The 23,782-nt window shown below is 38.8% G+C and overlaps 1 pseudogene, besides 2 other annotated features; it reads left to right on the plus strand.

Annotated features, from left to right (window-relative positions):
- Window positions 4,563–23,782, plus strand: part of KLHL2P1 (kelch like family member 2 pseudogene 1) — a 43,921-nt pseudogene continuing 24,701 nt past the window's right edge.
- Window positions 12,812–13,405: an enhancer, noted in NCBI's record as "OCT4-NANOG-H3K27ac hESC enhancer chr4:120263717-120264310 (GRCh37/hg19 assembly coordinates)". NCBI's record gives its function as "activates a minimal SCP1, AML or CMV promoter by ChIP-STARR-seq in primed H9 embryonic stem cells {active_cell/tissue: H9 hESC(primed)}" and the evidence as "EXISTENCE:reporter gene assay evidence [ECO:0000049][PMID:30033119]".
- Window positions 17,692–18,680: an enhancer, noted in NCBI's record as "H3K27ac hESC enhancer chr4:120268597-120269585 (GRCh37/hg19 assembly coordinates)". NCBI's record gives its function as "activates a minimal SCP1, AML or CMV promoter by ChIP-STARR-seq in naive H9 embryonic stem cells {active_cell/tissue: H9 hESC(naive)}" and the evidence as "EXISTENCE:reporter gene assay evidence [ECO:0000049][PMID:30033119]".

Here is a 23,782-nt window from a genome sequence, read left to right on the forward strand (position 1 = left end):
CCCTACTGCCACAACCAAACCATTATGTTTCTGCCTTTTTCAAAACAAAATATTGTTTTCTGAGACCACTCCCATTTGGCTGTGGTCCAGCCTACTTCATCATTGTTATCTACCATCCACTCCCTCTAGCATTATCATCTACCATCTATCACTGAAAATCTTGGTACTTGGCTCACCATCATCTGTGTCCTGCCATCATCCTGGGTGACCTCAAAGTCCATGTGGATAAGCCACTTGTCAGTCTGGCTTCACAGCTCCTTAACCCCCTCATATCTAATGACCTTTACTTCTTTTATGCTTTATCTACTTACATCCAGGGCTGTGTCCTGTGATCTGTCATCATTAAAGCTGCTCCTTCTGTTGTATTTAACATGCCACTCTGACCACAACTTTCCATGCTCTCAGCTCCTTTATTTTATTCTGCACATTAGTTATTGGCTGGGAGAGAAATTTTCTTAGTTGTTGCCTCTATTTCCTCTCAAGTTAAAGCCCCCTCCTGTTTGTTTAAATTCTTTATTCAATTGATATCCTGTTTCCAATTTTAAAACTCTCTCACTTTTTCCTGCACTGACCTAGGTGCTATTAGGCATGCATGGTTTCTAGTCTTAGAGTAATTATCAGCACTCCCTGGAATGACTTCTGTGTATTTCAATCAGCTTCCTCCACATTTGCGACAATGGCTGTGCCTTTAGTCACCCTCCTGTAGCCTTTTACCTTTGCCCTCAGCAGACAACCTGCACATTACTTCACAGAGGAAAGAAACCATCAAACAATTCCCTCAATTTATGCCTTCTCAATTACAAAGTTACCTACTATTACTTTCTTTACTCCTATTAATTGTTACACTCACGTATGAGGTTGTTTTTGCATTGCTATAAAGAAATACCTGAGACTGGGTAATTTATAAAGAAAAGAGGTTTAATTTGCTCATGATTATGCAGGCTATACAGGAAGCATGGTGGCATGTGCTTCTGGGGAGGCCTCAGGAAGCTTCCGATCATGGTGGAAGGCAAAGGGGGAGCTGGCACATCACATGGCAAAAGCAAGCGAGAGGGGGAAGGTGCCACATACTTTTAAATGACCAGATCTCGTGAAAACTCACCATTGCGAGTACAGTACCAACGGAATGGTAAACCATTCATGAGAAATCTGCCCCCTTGAGCCAATCACCTCCCACCAGGCCCAACCTCCAACATTGGGGATTACATTTCAACATGAGATTTGGGTGGGGACAACATCAAACCATGTCAACCCACTTACTCTTTCAATGTGTATTTTAATTCCTCCTATGGTCTAGGCACTGTGCCACATTATAAACAGAAAAATAGACACAGTTTCAGTCAAGGGAAAGCAAGGCTTGAAATTGCAATAGTGTGTCACATGTAAAGTTTTTTTTTTTTCTCCCTGTTTCTTCCTATCACCCTCTCTTTCTTTTTTATTTATTTGCTTATTTGGATGAGGTGGGATGTGAAGACGATCAAGTCTCTCCCATTATAAGACATAAAGATACCTAAATTCTGTTGACATTTCTAGAACCTACTCAATCTTTCTCCTTCTCTTTGTAGCCAGGCTTCTTGAAAAAATAATTTGTACTTTTTGTCTTCACATGCTTATCCTTCATTAATACCTCAATCTACTGCAACATGGCTTTCATATTCACCAGTCCACTGAAACTACTCACTAAGGTCATAGATGAATTTTTAGTTGCCAAACCCAGTGCACATCTTGGCCCTTATTTTATGTCATTGTAGCATTGCATACCATTGACTCTTCTTCTTCTTCTTCTTCTTTTTAATTTCTCCTTTTCTTTTGCTGACTTTTTTCTTTCTTGACATTCCTCTTCTCTGGATACTTCTTTTCAGGCTCTTCCATAAGCAACTTTTCCTTAACTGACAGATACCTTAAATGTTGGAATTGCATCTTTAAATCACTTTTTATTCCATACAATCTACCTCGATCATCTTTTTCATTCTCATGTCTTAATGTTCAAACCATATGTCTCTAAAATTTAGAGATCCAGCCCAGACATCTTTCCTACTGGGTAGGAAAAGTGCTGTAATCCCAGCACTTTGGGAGGCCGAAGTGGGCAGATCACCTGAGGTTGCAAGTTCAAGACCAGCCTGGCCAACATGGCGAAATCCCGTCTCTACTACAAATACAAAAATTAGCTAGGCATGGTGTGCCTGTAATCCTAGCTACTTGGGAGGCTGTGGCTTCTCATTCAGAAGCAGAACAGAAAATGATGCATAATGTCTAAAACTATAGATGTGAGATATATATACATATATATTAGGAATAACTAGTTAAGTGAGAGGTAAAGGTTTGGGGTTTGCTTAATTTTAGAGGTTATATTCATGTTGAGTACCTGTTTCATGGCTTCATGTACCATCCATGTAACCAGTGATTCCCACATTTCTGCCTCCAGCTAAACTTTTCTCTCCAACTCTAGACTCCAATATTTATCTGGTGATTTGATGCCTTCACTTGGATGTCTGATGTTTTAAAACCAACATGTATAAAAACAGCTCTTGATCTCTGCCTATCTCAAACAGTTTCCACCTGCAGCCTTCTTCATCTCAATGAACAGAAACTCAGTCCTTTCTCTTGTTCAGGCCAAAAGACTTGGAGTCATTCTGACTTTCTTTGACATGTCATATGGTTGTTTCAACAGATCTCGTTGGCTGTATCTTCAAAATGTCCAGAACCCAGCCAGTTTTCATCACCTCCACTGCAACTATCCTCCCTAAGCCACTGTCATCTCTTAGTGAATTATTGTAATATCCTGCTAAATAGTTGCCCCCTTTTCATCTTTGACCCGTGTAGAGTGTTCTCAACCAGCAGCCAAAGTGGTCTTTGGAAAACATAAGTCGGATTGTGTCACTCTTTTGCAGTGTCTCCTCATTTCACTCAAAGTGAAAGGCCTTAGGATATCCTAAAAGGCCCATTGTGATCTGCACTCCCCTCTCCTGCTCAGCCCCAGCCTTTTGCCAAAGCTGCAAGGGCCGTAGTTCCTGGAACATACCAGGTACATATTGGCCTTTGCTGTAGTTACTACTTCCATCCGGACGTTCCCACACCCCCTAGTCTTTTGTTCAAATCTCAGTTCTCAACTAGGCCTTCCCTGAGCACCCTATTTACTGCAGATTACACCCCTCCACCATCCCCACATTTCTCACTCTCTTCACCCTGCCCTGCTTTTTCTATTTCCATAACACCATTTCCTAACATGCCAGTTGCTTCCCTGACTTGTGTTGTCTTCCCCTTTCCCCTCACCAGACTCCAAGCTCTATGAGGACAGGGATCTTTGTTTTATTCACTGATATATTCCAAGTGCCTTAAGAGTAGCGATTGGTACATGGTTGGTACTAAAAAAAAATTGCTGAATGAATTAATGAATGATATTTAAAAATGAATCATCCTTTTAGAAATGGGTCAGGAAAGGAAGAGAAATGCAGCAATTAATAATGATTTTGCTTGTTCTTTGATATATATACAAGTATGATATTTTTAGACTTCATTTTTTAAGCCTGGTTAAAAAATTGGTGCCCTGATTTTTTATGTAATAGCTTTATTGAGGTATAATTTACATACCATAAATCCACCCATTATAATTGTGCAATCTAATGATTTTTATTAAATTTATAAAGTTTTATAACCATTGCTTCAAAAAGTTGTCTTGTGTTCATTAATTTGCAGTTAATTCTTGCCCCCCTCCTCATGGGACCCTGATTTTTTTGGTTAATTTTATGGTCCTAAGTCTTGAAAGAATAATTCATGTAGCAATGCTAGTATAGCCTTGTGTGCTTAAAAAATGTAAATTTAAATATTCACTGTTCAGTGTAGGAAATGGTATTGAAATATTAGTGAAAAGAACAAGATGGAGAATCAGACTGGCCATACTCTTACCCAGCCCTACCATTTACACCGTTACTCAAACTATTCTCTTCATCTGTTAAATGGGGATAATAATAGTAATTTGCTCAGAGAGTTGTTGTGAGGATTAACCAAATAATGAAAGTAAACTGCTCAGCACAGGGCTGCCATATAGTAAATACCCAATAACTATTAACTAACATGATTAATCTCAATTAATCTCTTGTTAGTATAGGTCAAAATATATGGGGTTAATATATCCTGGCAGGTAGAGAGCAAAATTTAAATCAGATTCTAAGTTTCTGAAGTTTGTGTAAAATATGATCCTGCTCTGTCTTGGTTTGTTAATAACGTACGACTATAGAAGTTTGTAAAAGCAAGTTAATTTCCAATGGAGAAGATCATTTCTCAACAGTTTTATTTGGAGATATCTGCTAAGCCACTTCTACTGAATATTCTGTGTTGATCTTTGACGGAACTTTGACACCAGGGAGGTAATTACCCACTTTTTATTGAAACCATAGTGTCCATCAGAAACTGTTCTCAATTGTCTTAACCTTACATTGGGATATTCTGTTCATGAGACTTCCTCTAAATAAGTAGGGGAAGGAGACATTCATTGTCTCTCTTGTAGCTTGATAAGCTGAACTAAATGATCTTTAATAAGATCTTTTTCTGTTTTTGTTCTTTTCTTTTATGTACAGGTGCACAAAGCAGGGTCATCAGAAGCCTCTTGATTCAAAAGATGATAATACCGAAAAACACTGCCCAGTGACAGTGAATCCTTGGCATATGAAGAAAGCTTTCAAAGTCATGAACGAATTAAGAAGGTATCATTATACTAATGTACATGCAACCATTGGTTTCGTCCCTTTATTTTTCAGTTGTTTGTAGTGAATATATAATCAACCTTCCATTGTTGCTTTTTCTGGTACACAGAACATTAAAACCTTTTTCTGCAAGTTTTTTAAAGGAAAAGAGCAAATAATTTATCAGAAGTGTGGATGGTGTGGGGCTCCTCTATTAGTGTGGTAGCCACTTAGCCACATACAGCTAGTCTGATGAGATAGTTTGGAGGTGAAAAATACACAGGGGATTTCTAAATGCAAAAAAAAGAAATGTAAATATTTTATTCATACTTTTAAATGTATTGATTCCATGTAGAAATGATAATATACTAGATATTTTGAGTTAAAAAGAATACAGTAGGCCAGGTGCGGTGACTCATGCCTATAATCCCAGCACTTTGAGAGGCCAGGGCAGGAGGATCACTTGAAGCCAGGAGTTTGAGACCAGCCTGGTCAACACAGTGAGACTCTGTCCCTATTTTCTTTCTGTTAAAGTTAAAAATAAGAGAATATATTATTGAAATTAATTTCTTTTGTTTCTTTTTACCTTTTTAATGTGATTACTATAAAATTGTGACTTGCGTTATGTTTATATTGGACAGTGCTGGTCTAGGGCTTCTAACTTACTGTGGCAAAGAATATGGAAAGAAACTTTTAGAGAAAAATGTAACCCTTTTTTTGTGGGAGTGGTGGTAGTTTTGGGGGGCAGTGACCTGCCTGTTGCTGAGGTAATTCTCAAGTGTACTAAGGATCACTGCAACTTTTAAGTAGTGTTAAAAGTTGATTGAAAAATGAGTAGCTTTTTTTAATTAAAAGGGTAATATATGTATTAAGAGTCTTGCTTTTATTTTCTTAGCACTTTATGAAAGATCTGCTTTTTCCCACCATTCCCTTTGTGAAAGTACTCTACGTATATCTATCTGAAATGCTGAAAGCCTGGCTAAGAAGGGATTAAACCTTCCTTAATCTTTCTATGCTTCCTAAAAGCTCTCCCTTTTAGGCCCATCATTTGTTTGTTTCTTCTTTAATTAAATTAGGGATTCAATAAATATTTATCTGCTAGGTACTGTAGGTACAATGGTGAGCAAGAACAAATATGGTTGCCACCCTTGTGGGCCCATAGCTGACTGCAGGAAGTAGGCATTCATCAAAGAATCACAAAAATAATTTACTGTAATGACAGTAAGTGCTGCAAAGGAGGGCTGCTGGTGCTAGAAAGGTGGATAACAGTGGTCAGGAAAGGCTTTCTTGAGAAGACAGGAATAATTATGCTGATATCTAGAAGGAAAAGAAGATAAGGGGATAAAGTCAGGATGGGAGTGAGGAGAGGGAGAACAGTGTTCCAGGCATTGGGAATGCAGTGCCACAACTTAGGGTAGGAAGGAGCTGGCCTCATTGGAGGAACTGACAGTGTTGCTGCAGTGCACATGGCGATGGAATCACACAGGAGAGGCAGCTGAGTTGGTAGGAGGGGCCATTGGACTGAGGTCCTGAAATTTTGGTCTTAATCAAGAGTTGCCTTGAGAGAAAGCCAGTGGAGAGTGTTAAGCAGGAGTGTGACCTGATCAGATTTATATTTTGAACACACTGGCTGCTGGGTAAAGAATGGATTGGAGAGAGATAAGAGAAAGTTAAACTGAATATTGGATCATTTGATTTGCTTTCTAGTACCGCTTTGACAACATTTTCAAAATGTGGGTTTTCACTTATTCTTTGGGAGAATATATAGCTGGAATAATCCAGCAAGTCTCAGGGTACTGTTTCAGGTTTTTAATCCTGTTTTGACAGTAATTATTAGAATGTAAAATGCATTGGTTACTAAGTGGAACTGCAAGAAAAGTAGGAAAAATAGTCTGGTTGTTTTAAGACTGGGATCTTTAATGGCTCTTTTTTCTCTTTGAGAAGTCTAAAAAGACTGACTTTTAATAGGACTATTCAAATGTTCTTTTTCCCCACTCCTATGGGTGGGGCACGGGTAGCCTTGGCTTTCTGCTGGTGTTAATGTGAGTGGGTCTCTGTTGACCTGGGCATGACTCACTAAACTGCAGGGAAGGTAACACCAAGTGCTCCTTCCCTTGGGGTGAACGACCTGAGTTTGGGGACAGACTCTGGTCTCGAGCCAGTTATTTTACTTGTTTGAGCCTGACTATAAAATGAGAGGCATGGACAAGATGGTGTCTAAGGTTCAGTGCTGCTCTGACATTCTCAGCCTAGAGATGTTTTTCCTGCTTACCTGCAAGCCCTGTGGTGTCCTTGCCTGGCCCTAGGATTATTTATAAGCTCCAGTCTTCATTCATCTGTTTGCCCCTTTTTGGATGTGAACTCTATAACTGTGAGATAGTACCTTCTTGTTCTTTGTGTGGCACCCTTTCAGCAGCTAGTATGTCACTGGGCTGGTAGTTGATGCTGATTTTCAGAACAAAGAATGACCTTTGAATAGCCAGAGTATTGGCTGCCAGGTCTACAACCTGGATTGTTTTAATGAAAGCGCCAACAACAACAGTATTTTTAAAAATGGACTGTCGTTCGGGTTCATCAGACCTTTTTAAAAATGTCATTCCCTTCCACCCTTAAATCTTATAGCCATTTTGAGTAATTCTTTTTAAAAAAATCTCTGAAGAGGCCTATTCCTTGTACAGCTGAAAATCATTAATTATTTCCTGTCCTTGCATCAACTTCCTCTTGCCCAGAAAGGGTAGTTGAGAGTGTTTTCCTGACTTCTGGGAAGGGAGAACTTCCTTGTTCTCACCACTCTGCCCTTGGGCTCTAACCTCAAAGTGGTACAGCAACAGCTGTACTCCGAAGAATGTTAATGTGAACCTTTGGCTGATGGAAGCAAAATTTTAGGAGTAAAAGTCACTTTCAATTATGGCTGATGTAAGGTGTGGTTGTGGGAATGGGGGTAGGAAGACAGGAGTTCTGTAAGGTTTAAGTTACAGAATTAAAATTGTTTGATAGAAAAAGTACATGACATTTTATTGATTTCTTAAACTAATTGTTTTTAGACAGGAGGCCCAGAGACCTAGCTTTATATCCCAGCCTGGTAAGAGCTTGAATATCTTGAAATTATTTGGTTTAAAAACCCTGCAGTCATATGTAAACAATGTATTCAACAAGTATTGGTGAGCACCTAATCAGCTAATATGCCTGAAAGGCTATGTGGGATCCAAAAACAGTATCAGACTTAGGCCATGCCCTTTGAGTGTCTAGAGAGCTGCTGGACACATACAGAGAGGAGGATGAGGCAGTGAAAAAGTGTGCAAATCATGGGTGCCCAAACGGATTCTCATGGGGAAAATTCACACAGCCCACAGAGGTGGGCTTCAGTTGGGCCTTGATGGGAGTGCAGCAGGATTCACTGAGGGGATGGAGTGGGAATGTCTTTCCTGGCATGATTAATTGCACAAGTCAGGGAGGGAATAAACATCATCTGTTGGATAAAGTGAATCAAGGGTTCATCCTGGGGAGTCTGTGCAGAAAAGGTTAGGAAGCAAGAGAAGGGCAGAATTGTGGCAGGCTTAAATAGTATGATGAATTCGGACTTAATCCTCTGGGCAGTGGGATTCAGTGAAGGCTTTTGGGAAACAGAGCATCATGCTAAGATTAATGATGTTGGAGTTGTGAAAGGACGGCTTTTAGGTCAGCAGTGCATCTCTGGTGGGAAATTCAGATCTTAACTCTAAATTTCCCAAGTGTGGATGGGGGAAATTTTTCAAAACACCGACATTTTCAAAATCAACCCAATAGATCTTCACAGAATGCTTATAATGTGCAACACACTGTATTAGGTCTATAGAGGGGACAGAGAAGCAGACTGTACCCCAGGTAAGTTTTTCTTTTTCTTTTTTTCGAGACAATCTCACTCTGCCACCCAGGCTGGAATGCAGTGGCGTGATCTCAGCTCACTGCAACCTCCAACTCCTGGGTTCAAGCGATTGTCCCACCTCAGCCTCCCGAGTAGCTGGGATTACAGGTGCGTGCCATCACACCCAGCTAATTTTTTATATTTTTAGTAGAGACAGGATTTTGCCATGTTGGCTAGGCTGGCCCAGATAAGTTTTATTGACAAAATTAGATTGCTAGCTTTTGGAGAAGACCAAAGAGCAACTGTTGAAAGGTGGCATTTTGTGTTTAAAATAAAAAAAAAAAAAAAAACCTACTGTTTTTTAGGCTATAGGATAAGACTGTACTTGAGCTTTAACAATTTCAATGAGTATTAGTGGTGGGGGCACAACCTATTAGCTTTATTTACAAGGAATGTAAGTTTGATCCTTAATATTTAGGAGTTGAAAGTATTCAGTAAGGATGAATCATATGAAGCAATTCAAATGTTCACCTTTATATCCTGTACAACCCATAAATATTGAGTTGTTCATTCATAACAGCAGTTCTTAACATTCCAGAAGATATTTAAGCAAAATAGCCTGATCTGCCCTCTTAAAGGAATGGTTATTGTGTTTTTCCTCCAGGATTTTAGGCATCATGGGACCTATATCACTACTAGGATTAGATTATCTGTTGTGCATCCATAAAAACATTTGATTTGTGGCTGTTGAATTTTGGCTAAATTGTTATTGTGTCTATTGTATGAATTCATACTTTGTTACTTAGATGGCAAGTGAATTAAACAGTGAACTTAAGGGGGTCTCCCTTTTTCTTCAGGTATACCTAAGATATTTTGATACAGGTATATAATGTATAATAACCACATTAGAGTAAATGGGATATCCATGACCTCAAGCATTTATCCTTGGTGTTATAAACAATCCAGTTATACTCTTTTAGTTATTTTTAAATGTATCATTAAATTGTTATTGACTACAGTCACCCTATTATGAGACATATTTTACTTTTAAGAAGATAGACACCGTGCATTTTAAAAGCAGTGACAGGTTTTTCTCAGTCTTAGGAATTCATTCATTTTATATCAGAAGACCCAAGGATGCCTTAGTGTGTTCAGGCATGTTTCATACCTTTTCAAAGCAGTTTCTTTTTTTCCTGAGAAGGACCAATTTTCATGATACAATTTTATTTAGGAGATGGAGTGCCTTCCTTTATTCTGTGCTATTTGAGTTTTACATTAAGCCTATCTAACTCCTGTTCTTTTCCCTTTAGATTTGAGCTTAGAAGCCACTTTCATTCTGAAGCTTTTCCATAAGGTTGAGCCTAGCTTCTCCTGTGTGTTTCCAAATATCCCACACTTGTCCCATCTTAAAGTCATGGGTTCATTTTATAATCACTTATTTCCTTGTCTGTCTCCCTCACATGACTGTAAACTTCATACTGTCATGGCTGTTAATCTTGTTTATTTTGGTAAGCTCACACAGTCCTTGATAAGTGAATGAATAAATGCAAATTTTGCTAAATAACAACTTATTTATACCATTATTTTGGAGGCCTTCTTTTCCTACAGTTTATCCCTCATTAGATTTCAAGTAATAGGAACATAAACTTAGAAATTCACCATGGAAGACTTTGCATATGGGCTGCTAAAAGAAGTTTTTCTTATTTTTAGTGCCAGACTTTTCATTTGTAGCTCTCTCACTCAAAAGTCATTCAGCTTCTTGTAAGCATGCAAATTTGGAAAGAGGTAAGGGCCAGACTCAATGTACACACACTGATATACACTCATTGTGTACTTAGTGACACAAACTAGTAAGAGTTTGTTAGCTCTCTCATCTCTGAATGCTGTTTTAAAATATGTTATTACTGAAGACAGATAAAAAATTGAATACTAAAACTAAGCATGTCCTTAATGTGTAAAGTGGCTCTGAGACCTAACCCAGGATGTGGCTGCATAATATTTTAGCAGTGTTTTAACCTTATTAGTTAACTAACATCAACTAATAAGTCAGTAAGGCCAAGTTAATTATGTAAGTGACAGCCAGCAGGTATTATGTTAGAAGGTTTGGATCAATGAATAATTGTAATTGAAGCCAAATGTAATTAGTTATGTGATTTTTGAGGTGTTCAGGTGTAATTCCACTTGTGTTCCATCTTGAAACTAAAGCACTAGGAGGGATTACTGACAAAAGGAAAATAGGCATAAAGATGCACTTGACTCATGTTTGAGTTGTGTTCAAATCCCCAGGTCACGAAAGAGAAACCTGGATTGCTTTATTCTAGAGAGACCATGCATGCTCTGCTGACCCTGCTTACCTGCCTCCAGAGTTTCTTCGCTCCCACCCTTCTCTGTCCCCACTCTTCTTGGCCCACAGTTCCGCATTCTGCTTTGCTGCTTCAGGTCTCCATGCGATAGTACATCATGTTCTCTTTGGGATTCTTTTGCTCCTTCTCGATCCAGCTAACTCTTACTTGTTTTTAGAACTCAGTTTAAGGCCAATAGCTGCAGGAAGCCCTTTCTGATCCCCAGTCTGATTTAAACGCAGCCCCCCCACCCCAACCTTTCCATAACATCTTTATTACGGTGCTTTCCACTTTATCCTATAATTTTTGCGTTGCCAGTTTTTTCTGGTGGTCTTCTTAAGGGCAGAGATGGTCTTGCAGTACTTTGTTGAATGAATGAACAAACTTTGATTTTTAAAAATATTCTGTAGAGGTAGTGCTTAAAACCCACTAAATTTGGAGCTTTTATTAGCTATATATAGAACTTAAAAATACTTTCTAGTGTATTGTATGTCAAAAAATAAATTGTTATTATTTATAATTTATTTACTATTTCCCTTTCTTGTTTTATTCAAACTTTAACAGATCTTAAAACAGTATAGCTTTAGGTTTTGTGTAGTGGTCAAGAGGCTCTGGAGTTAGCCTGTGGATTTGAATCCTGGCACTGCCTCTAGTTGGAGGACTTTAACCTTGGTTTCCCCAGCTATAAATTTGGGGATAAAAATAATACCTTATAACATTGTGGTGGGCACTAAATGAAATAATACATGCAGGTAAAACTCTTGCATAGTACCTTCCTGAAAACACTGCTGACACCACTGACTTTTCCACCCTAGTTATATGTGAACCCATGGAATTCATAGAATTGCAGAATGGTTTTATATTCTCAGAGCAGATGGTAAACTTTGTCAGTTCTCTAAAATGATCTGGAGGAATTGTAAATTAGTGATACTGTGCCACCTTTTATGACTCCAATATGAGACCTGCTTTATGTCTCATACAGCATCATGAGCCATTAAACTGGTAACACACGAGCCATACTATAATCTAAATGGCATAGCAGTCTCATCAGCAATGAGGCCCTGGGATGCAGTCATCACTGATGCTGGGGTAGTCTTTTTTTCTTCCATTTCTCCTAAACTGGAAGGAGAATAGTTACCAGTAGGCTCTCCAAAAAGTTTTGGCATGAACTTTATGGGAACAAGTTTGCAAGCAGTATGGACAGGTGGAAAACTTCAAGGACTTCGTCAAGCTCATGGAAAATGTTGCTTGTAAGCTACTAGAAAATTACAGAAGTAGGCAGGCCAACTTTTTAGGAAATAGAACAGTAGAGGAGGGTGCCAAGTGTGACCTGCATGCACTATGCACATAGACATAAATTCAGTGCTTGGGTATGTGAGGTGTGCAAGGGACATTTGCTTTCACCACACCTGTTTCAGTCATTCATAGTATGACTACTAGCAAGGCAGGTTGTAGGCTTTGGAGCCTTCTTGCTTATTCTAGAATAAGCATCAGCAACGTTTTCTGTTAAAAATATTCTATGACGTTATTAATTACCTGGATAGTATGATCTGGCACCACGTATTGCATGTCAAAAATGCTCACCACATGTTTTTAGTGAATTACAATGGATGTTTTAAAATTAGAGATACAATAATATGGTTGCTGAATAATGGTTTTGAGGTAACAAAACGCTTTTTTTTTTTGAAACAGAGTCTCACTCTGTCACTGGAGTGTGGTGGTGCGATCTTGGCTGAATGCAACCTCTGCATCTTAGGTTCAAGTGATTCTTGTGTCTCAGCCTCCTCAGTAGTTGGGATCACAGGTGTGGTCTACCATGCCTGGCTAATATTTGTATTTTTAATAGATTCTGGGTTTCGCCATGTTGGCCAGGCTGGTCTCAAACTTCTGGCTTCAAGTGATCCATCCACCTACCTGTAGGGGTGGGTTGCCCCTACACACCTGTGGGTGTTTCTCGTAAGGTGGGACGAGAGATTTGGAAAAGAAAACGACACAGAGACAAAGTATAGAGAAAGAAATAAGGGGACCCGGGGAACCAGCGTTCAGCATATGGAGGATCCCGCCAGCCTCTGAGTTCCCTTAGTATTTATTGATCATCTGTGGGTGTTTCTCAAAGAGGGGGATGTGTCAGGGTCACAAGACAATTGTGGGGAGAGGGTCAGCAGACAAACACGTGAACAAAGGTCTTTGCATCATAGACAATGTAAAGGATTAAGTGCTGTGCTTTTAGATATGCATACACATAAACATCTCAATGCTTTACAAAGCAGTATTGCTGCCCGCAGGTCCCACCTCCAGCCCTAAGGCGGTTTTTCCCTATCTCAGTAGATGGAGCATACAATCGGGTTTTATACCGAGACATTCCATTGCCCAGGGACAGGCAGGAGACAGATGCCTTCCTCTTGTCTCAACTGCAAGAGGCATTCCTTCCTCTTTTACTAATCCTCCTCAGCACAGACCCTTTACGGGTGTCGGGCTGGGACGGTCAGGTCTTTCCCTTCCCACGAGGCCATATTTCAGACTATCACATGGGGAGAAACCTTGGACAATACCTGGCTTTCCTAGGCAGAGGTCCCTGTGGCCTTCCGCAGTTTTTGTGTCCCTGGGTACTTGAGATTAGGGAGTGGTGATGACTCTTAAGGAGCATGCTGCCTTCAAGCATCTGTTTAACAAAGCACATCTTGCACCGCCCTTAATCCATTCAACTCTGAGTTGACACAGCACATGTTTCAGAGAGCACGGGGTTGGGGGTAAGGTTATAGATTAACAGAATCTCAAGGCAGAAGAATTTTTCTTAGTACATAACAAAATGGAGTCTCCTATGTCTACTTCTTTCTACACAGACACAGTAACAATCTGATCTCTCTTGCTTTTCCCCACACTACCTTGGCCTCCCAAAGTGTTGGGATTATAGGCATGAGCCACTGCACCTGGCCAAAGTGTTTTTTAACTTTAGATGTAATATTTTCTGGCCTTGAAGGATGAGATATTTTGCATTGGTAAAATGTTGTGATTAAGTTAAGCTTCAAATGCTCAAAGCCTTTTAAGCAGCAAGTGTAACTGAATATAATTTTACCATTGCTTGATGAACTAGGGTCTTTTAAGATTTTTTTTTTTGGGGAGGGGGCGGGTATTTGACCCAATTTAGTTTTTGGCATGTGTTTTTTCTTCATCTTCATGTCAGACTACACCTGCCACTTCTGCCGCTACTTCTTATTCAGATAGCCTCTTCTTTTGCAGTCCATTGATGGTTTGCTGCCAGTAATTGCCTTTAGGTTGAGAAATCAATAATCAAGTTTGGGAAGATTTCTGTGTTTTTCAAAGGCAGGATTCTTAGTGAGGGTCCAAGGCATGTTGGGCCTTTATCCCAGCTGTCTTCTATGTACTTCATGTTTAGGGATCATGTCCCAAAGGATGGCTGTTTTTTACATTAGTCTCCACTTGATGAAAGTGGGCTTTACTGTAATATTTTTGCATAGGATGTTCAATACATTCATTGTTGATATCATTTAAATTTTTTCTCTCTGCTTTTTACACAGTCAAAATTTACTGTGCGATGTCACAATTGTGGCAGAAGACATGGAAATTTCTGCTCATAGAGTGGTGCTGGCCGCCTGTAGTCCTTATTTTCATGCCATGTTTACAGGTATGAAATAGTTTAGTTATGGGAATTTTAAAAAATGTATTCAGATCTGTGCTTTTCTTACCACATTTTCTTTTGTTATTAACATTTTACTTTTATGAAATGAAGAATTATAGTGGAAGAAAATGTTCTTGCTTTGTTCCAAATTCCTCCTCGTCTTTGTTTTTCATTGTTGGGGGTCAGTAAGCCTATACATAGGTACGCTCACAATTTTATGCTCAACTTTCTCCCTGTAAGTTATACTTATGTGTATTAGTTCCTGCCATTTATAATAGCTTTTTGGCACTTTATTATTTTGACAAAAGGAAACCACTTTACATTTTTTAAAATGATTTTTACATTTGTTTCATCTAGTGTTACATTGAAGAAAAAGATGTTTATTTAATATCCTTCATTTGGAAATATAAGAAAATAAAGCGATTTATCTACAAGCTTACATTTTGCTTTGGCAACTGTGAAAATATATAGAATGATTTTAGTACTTCTGGAAAAGAAGTAATTTATGTCTGTCACACTTGAATCCCTTACTCTCATTCTTTTTTAAAATATATTGTACAAAGAAATGAAGTTTTTATCTGTTACATCAATGAGTTTATAATCTTAGGGTATTGGTATGCCAAATAGAAAATACAAATAGAAATGTAGTTATACCAAAAAGCAAAAATACAAAGCTCTTCTTACTTTAGAAACTATTAAGTATTTCTGGTGCTACTGTTTTACTAGATACTTCAAGGCATACAAAAACAATGTGAACATGCTTCCTGCCCCAAAAGCATCCTGTGTAGCTAGGCAGATGGATGTGCACCCTTTAATAGGTAATAGTGTATGGAAGATCTGAGTGCTCACAGCAGTGGTCAGACGTTGAGGGCTGTGATGGGCAGCACTGAGAGAAGGATTTCCCCAGACCTGATGGATTGAGGGGTTTACACAGATGAAGATGAGTGTAGAAGTCAGATGGAGAAGACGGACTGAGTGAAAACTTTTCTGGGTGTCTTGGGAGTAGTGAGGAGAACAGAGCCCCGCTCAGTTTTCAGCCTTTTATGATCTTGCTGTTCCAGAACAGAGTTAAATAATCAGGAATGAAGAAGGATAGCAGGTGGGTTCTGAGCCAAGTTTGGGAGGGTTGCCTTTCAGCTGAGAGCTGAGGTTGATCTGAAAAGTCAATACCTGTGAAGTGAGACTAGTCAGATTTTTATGTCTTGGGGTTCACTCTAGTCTCTTGATTTACATCTTATTTATTACTGCTGGACACTTTTCTAGAGAGAGAGAGTCTCTAAGGCTTGTAAGAGAAGGATTCGATCTGGAATGTGCTGGGCTACTTTAGGAATTCCCTTGTAAAGTGCTGTCCCCTTGGTGGCCTTCCTTCAGATGACACTGCTGTTGCCACTTACTTGTTGGAACTACTGGGTCTTTGGAAAACTTAATCTGTGCTTCAGTTTCCCCATCTGGAAAATGGGAATAATAATATTACCCACATCCTAGAGTTTTTGTAAAGATTAAATGAGAACATATGTGTGAATTTCTTAGCACTTGACACATAGAAAATGATCAGTTAATTTTGACAGTAATTATTATGGTCATCATCACCATTCTTTTTTACTCCAACTTCCTAAATTTCTTTATATTCTGTACAAGATTGGAAAGCTTTAAGCTAGGCTCTTTTTTTTTTTTGATAAATGTTTTATTGTCCACAGAGTGACAAAAATAGAGTGATTAACTTATACCTGTAAGATCAAGGTTAGTTTCCTTTCCCCTCAAAAGGCTTTGGAGACTTAGTGTCTCCAAACTCCCTGAGCCTTAGACATCCAGTGAAATGGATGCTAGGTAGAGATAGGAGAGCTTATTATGTCTTTAGCTCTCTTTTCTGTTTGCTTTATAATCTAAACTGCATTTTGGTTTCCCTCTTCTGTTTTTGTCTAATGGTTCTCTATGCTTCATGATTTAGCTGACATGGTTTATGAATATGTGAGCTTTGCCTAATGAAGGGAATGAGGCATTGAAGACATTCTGATTTTCTAAGTATTTATAGTGTATTACAACTAACTAGTAGGTAGGTGCTTTTGCAGTTCAACTGGTTTCTGTCTGAGAATATACCTTTTATGCTTAGTCAAATTTTAGATTGCTATGTGCTAAAGTACTTGAAAATAGGAATACTATGTTAATTTCTGGCACATATACAAAATGTGAATTGAGTACCTAATGTTTTTTTTTTTTTACTAGTTTATTGAGGCATATTTTATATATCATAAAATTTACCCATTTCAGGGCTGGATGCAATGGCTCACACCTGTAATCCCAGCACTTTAGGAGGCTGAGGCAGGTGGATTGCTTGAGGAGTTCAAGACCAGCCTGGGCAACATGGTGAAAACCCATCTCTATCAAAATATAAAAAATTAGCTTAGTGTGGTGGCCCTAGCCTAGAGTCCCAGCTACTCAGGAGGCTGAGGTGGAAGGATCACTTGAGCCTGGGAGGCAGAGGTTGCAGTGAACCAAGATGGTGCCATTGCATGCTAGCCTGGGTGACAGAGTGAGAAAAAAAAAATTACCTATATTAAGTGCACAACTCACTGATTTTTAGCAAATTTACTGAGTTGTACTGCCATCACCATAAATCAATTTTAGAACATTTTTGTTCTCACATAATGTTTTTGAGGTTCATCCGTGTTGTAAATGTTTCAAAGGAAGGTTTGCTGTTCTTATTGCTAAATAGCATTCTGTGTGGATAGACCACTTTTGACTTTCCATTTACCAGTTGATGGATGTTTTTGTGTTGTTTCAATTTTTGGCTATTATGAATAATACTGCTATGAATATTCATGCACAGTTCTTTGTGTGGACATATATTTTTATTTCTCTTGGGAGTAGATATCTAGGAGTGTAATTGCTGGGTCACATGGTAAATTTATACTTAAAAAATTCTGCTAAGCTGTTTTTCCAAAGTTACTGTACCATTTTACATTCCTACTAGCAATGTTTGAAACTTCCTATTTCTCCACAACCTTGCCAACACTTGCTACCGCTTTTTAAAAAATTATAGCCCTTCTAGTGGGTGTTGAAGTAGCATAGTATTGTAGTTTTAATTTGCATTTTTCTAATGACCAATGATGTCAAGCATCTTTCTATGTGCTTATTATTTAGGCTAAACTTTTATGGTTTTTCAGCAGTAGATGTTATTTGACTTTCTAGCAATCTTTGTACTGTTTTTTTTTTCTTCTACTTTTGAATCTACTGTTTAGCCAACAATTTGGCAGAAATTAGATAAAAAAGATAAAGGCCACTTTGGGAAGCTGAGGCAGGTGGATCACGAGGTCAGGAGATTGAGACCATCCTGGCTAACACGGTGAAACCCCGTCTCTACTAAAAATACAAAAAAAAATTAGCCGGGCGTGGTGGTGGGCACCTGTAGTCCCAGCTACTCGGGAGGCTGAGGCAGGAGAATGGCGTGAACCCAGGAGGTGGAACTTGCAGTGAGCCAAGATAGCACCACTGCAATCCAGCCTGGGCGACAGAGCAAGACTCTGTCTCAAAAAAAAAAAAAAAGGTAAAGGCAGGGCGCAGTGGCTCATGCCTGTAATCCCAGCATTTTGGGAGGCCAAGGTGGCAGAATTGCTTGAGCCCATAAGTTCTAAACCAGCCTGGTAGAAATAGGGAGATCTCATCTCTGAAAAGATTTTTAAAAAAATTTACTGAGCATGGTCACACGTGCCTGTATAGTCAGTCCCAGCTACTGGGGAGGCTGAGGCAGGAGGATTGCTTGAGCCTAGGAAGCAGAATTGCACTGAGCTGAGATCATGCCACTGCCCTCCACCTGGGCAACAGAGTGAGAATGTGACCCTGTCTCAAAAAAGGAAAAAAAAAAAAAAAGAAGACACGGGGATTGGGTCTAGGTAATTTAGTGTATGTAGACTCATTTAAGTATTTGCCAGAGTATGAGTACTTTGTTTCTTTGTTTTTCATGGTCTGAAGCCCTGCTAAGCTTTTTTTTTTTTTTTTTTTTTTTTTTTTGGCAAAAATTATGGTGAGGTTAACAAGTAGACCATTGGATGCTTTCATTCCACCAAACATCATGTACATTTACATTCTCTTGCTCAGGGACAGGGAGTTTCCCTACTCTTCTTTTGTTTTCCTGTGACTAACCTATTAGGAAATGGGGAATATGCAGATGTTCTTTGTTGGGTCTTACTTTTAATCTCATAAACTGTAGGTGAAGTTTTCATTTAAATTATATCACCTAAGAAATAATTCTGTTACTCGTCATAGTTCCAAGTATTTGAGTAGAGAAGGGAAGTGAAAAGTAATTCTGTGATGTAGTCACAGGGTTTTACTTTGTGAAGTATGGGCCTATTTAGAGTAAGGCCAAGTTATTTAACTATTACTTAAGAAAGAACATACCAAATTGGGTTCTTGTGTTTTTAGATTACTTCTTGGTTACAAATATGGCATTTAGAAAGCTGTTTGCTTAACACATACTTTGAGATTTATTTGTGCCACAGGCTAACATTTCTGAAATCTGGTGGGAAGTACTGAATACTGAATTTTTATTTTTAGCCTTTTTTTTGGTGTGCTTTTTGATTTCTTTTGTCATATTGAACATGATTCAGTAAAATAAATTAGAATAGGAAAAGACAGATTATTGTTTGAGTGACTAAGAAGTAAGATTTTAAAAAGCTATATACATGGTTATGTTTGTCTAAGATTCATGCTTTCATTCATCAAGGAATATTTATTGAGAATCTTCTCTGCTAGGCATTGTCCTAGGCTTTGGGGACTAGAGTGATGAATAAAACAGATAAGTTCCTGTTCTCATTATTCTAGTTAGGAAGAAGAAGAAAGGTTAGACAGTAAGTAAACACACAAAAGATAATTTCTGGTATTGATGATGGCTCTGAAAAAAATTAAATAGAATGTTGCACAAAGAACTTAAGTTGGAATGCTTTAGGCTGCCTGTAACAGCAAACTCCACTCAAACTGGTTTAAATACTAAGAAAGCAGGCTGGGCACCAGACATGATTGGATCTACAGCTTGAAAATTTCATCAAGAATCTTCTTCTGTCTGTCTACCCTTCTATCCTCAATAAAAATATCCTAAGGTTTGTTCCTCTCCTAAATGAAAGATGCCTGCAAGAGTGGACCCAACATGTCAAGGAAGGAGGACTCTGTCTTTTAGGAGCTAAGAAACCTTTCTCAGAAGTTACCCAAACCAGACCAAAACTGGCAGGGCAATGCAGTTACCATGTTGGCCTTAGATTTGCTGTAGAACTGGAGAGTTACATACTCTGACCATCACAGAGAGTGGCTGGTGGGCCACCCAGGTCACCTGGCCAAACTGAAAATGCCTGTGTGTCAGTAACTGCTTTGTAACCTAAGAACAAAAAGGTAGTAGTGATTAGAGTAGATGACAAGTGGAACTTGCAAAGTAATGGAATAAGATTTATTAAACATAGCTATAAATTTGTTATTTATTTCTTAGAGTTTCAGCATAGTCAGAGTTTCTGTGTTACACTTTTATTCTTTTTTTCAGATGTTTTGTGTGCTAAATAACTGAAATTAGAATCATAGAATTTTTAAAATGAAATGAATTTTAGCGTTTATCTTTTTAAACCTATTCACTTTTCATTTATTCATTGGATAAATTCATTTTGCAATGGATAAGTGAAGTTACCAGTTTATGTTGGGCTTCAGGAGTCCTGATTAAAGATCCTTGAGATGGAATTTTTTTTTTTTTTTTGAGATGGAGTCTCGCTCTGTCATCAGGCTGGAGTGCAGTGGCATGATCTCAGCTCACTGCAGCCTCCGTCTCCCGGTTTCAAGCGATTCTCCTGCCTCAGCCTCCTGAGTAGCTGGGACTATAGGCATGCGAGATGGGAATGTTTTTAGCCATATATGTATTCTTACACTTTCATGTTTTGGAGGACTTCCTTTTTTTTATCAATAAAAGTAGATATGAGACAGGGTGCGGTGGCTTATGCCTATAATCCCAGTACTTTGGGAGGCCAAGGCAGAAGAATCATTTGAGGCCATGAGTTCAAGGCTGCAGTGAGCTGTGATTACACAATTGCACTTCATCCTGGGCAACAGAATGAGACTCTGTCTCAAAAAAAAAGGTAGAGATGATGTGGTATTTGCCAGTGAAAGTGTTTGGCTCACTCTGTAATGTATAGTGATGTTCAATAAATGTTTGTTGACTGAAATCCTACATAGCTAGAATATCCATGTTTAAGACTAATTTTAAAGTGCCATTAGTTACGTTAAGTAAAAATGCTATATTTTATGTATTTATTCAATTTATTTGAATCTCTGTCACCCAGGCTGGAGTGAGTGGTGTGGACTTAGCTTACTGTAACCTCCACCTCCCGGGGTCATGCAGTTCTCCTGCCTCAGGCTCTCACGTAGCTGGGATTACAGGCATGTACCAGCATGCCTGGCTAATTTTTGTATTTTTAGTAGAGATAGGGTTTTGCCATGTTGGCCAGGCTGGTGTTGGACTCCTGACCTCACATGATCCGCCTGCCTTGGCCTCCCAAAGCGCTGGGATTACAGGCGTGAGCCCCTGCGCCCAGCCAAAATGCTACATTTTAAATTGGCACTTGCTTTACTTTTTATTCATCTAGTCATTTACTTATCTAACCAGTGTTTATTGGGTATCTACTAGATGTCAGACATGTTATACAGAGATAAGAAAGGCTTCATCCCTGTTCTCAGTGAGCTTAAGAATTCAGAGGAGGAGAACTAGGTAAAGAGTTGATTATGACAGAGTGGATCTGCATGAGGTACCCAACTGTACCTAATCCAGCCTTGGGCCACCAACAGATAAGGCTACCTAGAGAGGTTCCAGTGGAGATTAGCCTGGGAAATGAGTGGGTGGGGAGACAGAGAGGACAATGTTCAACAAGAGCATCAGGGTAAGACATTGCTTTGTGTCTGTAGAAAACAACAAACAGCTTCTCAATAATGTATTTCAAGTTTAGAAATAGCGGGAGGAGAGAGAGAAGGCTAGACAATGAATCAGGGGCTGGACATGTGTGCTTGGACTGGGAGAAACCAAAGGATTTTTGAACTCCGTGCTCAAATTTGTGGAGTCAGTACTGGAGGCAGGAAAATAATTAGGAGGTGGCTACATTGGTGTGAGCAAGAGATTATAGGATCCCCAATGGTGAGAAGGTGAGAAGATTTATTTGAGATCTATCCAAGGTTAATTCTGCAAGTTTTAGTGAACTGTGGGACTGGTGGGTAAGGAAGAGGAGAGAATCAAGGATGACTCTCACTCAGGTTTTTAGTATAGGTGTTTGTATGGATAGCATAATGTAGCTTCAGAGTTCTGATATAAGCTCAGAGTTATGTGATCAAAACATAAACAAGAAACTATAATCTCTATAGAGACTATGGGAGGTTACAAATGGTAAGGATAAACTATGTACAGTATCATTGGATAGCCTAGTTTATTTTCTGTTTGTTTTAAATAGGACAGAGTCTTGCTGTGTTGCCCAGGCTAGTCTTGAACTCCTGGGCTCAAGTGATTCTCCTGCTTCAGTCTCCCTAGTAGCTGGGATTACAAGAGTGAGCCACAGCACCTGACTCTCATTGATAGTTTTTAAAATGCGTTAGCAATCAGAAATCTCACAAAGCCATACTGTTTAAAGATTTCCTCTGAAAACACAGCAAAGGGCAAAAACTAAGGTAATAATGTAACAACTGGAATTAGATATAAATAACTTTTACAATACTCTTTAGTATGGGCTTTGATTCATAGTAATTAGAATTTTTAAACCATTAATACAGTCATGGGCACATTTTTTGTTTTTCTTACTGTTTTTGTAAATTAATATAAAAATATTAAAATGTTTTCAAAACAGTATATAATTGAAATTGAATTTATTGGAAGCAGATACAGTTTTCTGGGGAGAAAAATAATCTTAAAAATGACAAATATTTGAACTAGCAAAATGCATCTTATAGCAATACCTTAAGAACTATAATATTAAAAACTGTTTGGCAGAGAACTAATTATTTTTCAGTCATACATGTAAATTAAAGTCCCACTTGGTTTTGCCTAAGGTAAGTCACGCTTAACTGAGTACTGGCTGTTTGGCTTTGTGCTCATGTGGCCCCAGGCCCTGAAGGGCTTTGCATATTATTGGGGCTCTGTAGGTGAATCAGTTATGGCCTTTGTCTCAAGTCCAAGTGGGAATCACCAGAATGTCTTAACTTTTGGCACAAAAGAGGCTTCAGTTTATACAGACTATCAGTTTATACCCCAACTATTCACAGGATCCAGCAAGAATAGGATAGAGGAAGGTGCCTTATATGTGGCTGAAGACTTATTTTTCTGTATTCCTTGACCTTCCTTTTTCCCCCTTTCTGTAAGCACGGGAAAAACATTTGCTGTAGCACCAGACATACAACTCAGTCCCCTTTCATCCTGCTATGTAGGTATAGGTACATCTTTCTCATTAACTCTCCTACTTCCCTTGTCATACAAAGAGATGTTTTTCTTCCTGGGAAGTAGCAGGGTAGTTTTTTGGGATATTTTAGCTCTGAGGTGAACAGCTTCTTTCTGAGATCTTGTCAGAGATAATCTCCAGGGAAGAACGCGGTTAAATGTACACCACTATTGTTATTTCTCTTCTCCCAGGGTTTTGTTTACAAAGGAATTTTGTGTAATTATGATTTCCCATAGACTTTTCTGATAGTTTATGGTTGCTGACAGTGCATTGTATCAGAAAAAGAAGTGAGCTTTCAAGAAATCTTGAGGCTATGTTATGGTTTAATAAGAGATGCTGGGTTAAAGTGAAGATGATGAATAGTGGCACGTTCTCATGCTTCTTTTACCTTTGAAACTTAGTGAATTCTAGAGCCAAATCTTTTTTGCCCATGGCCCTCAGCATTATTCTTGGACTGTCCTTTTAGTTTTTAATTGAATCCCTCCCCACCCGCATTCAATTGCTTGTGTCTCCATGTATCATAGTTCACTTATGTTGTCACACCTCGGTGCTTAAACTTGCCTCCTACTCTCCCCAAGTCTCCTTGGCTTAGGGACCATCCCTTCTCTTTCCTCCTTCCCTATTTCTTTTCCACAAGTGGGTATTAGGAAGAAAGTCTTGTACTGTTTTTTTAGCAGGCAGTTTTGTGGAAGGATACCTGGTTTTAGTAATAAAGCTGGTATGGAAATGACTTCAGCGTGAAGTTGCTGCAGTTAACAAACAGGAACTGAATCTGAGGTAGAAGATCTCTGTAATAAGCTTTGCTATTGACTAACTCTTTGTTATTATTG

Source organism: Homo sapiens, chromosome 4, assembly GCF_000001405.40.
Source record: "Homo sapiens chromosome 4, GRCh38.p14 Primary Assembly".
NCBI lineage: Eukaryota > Metazoa > Chordata > Mammalia > Primates > Hominidae > Homo > Homo sapiens.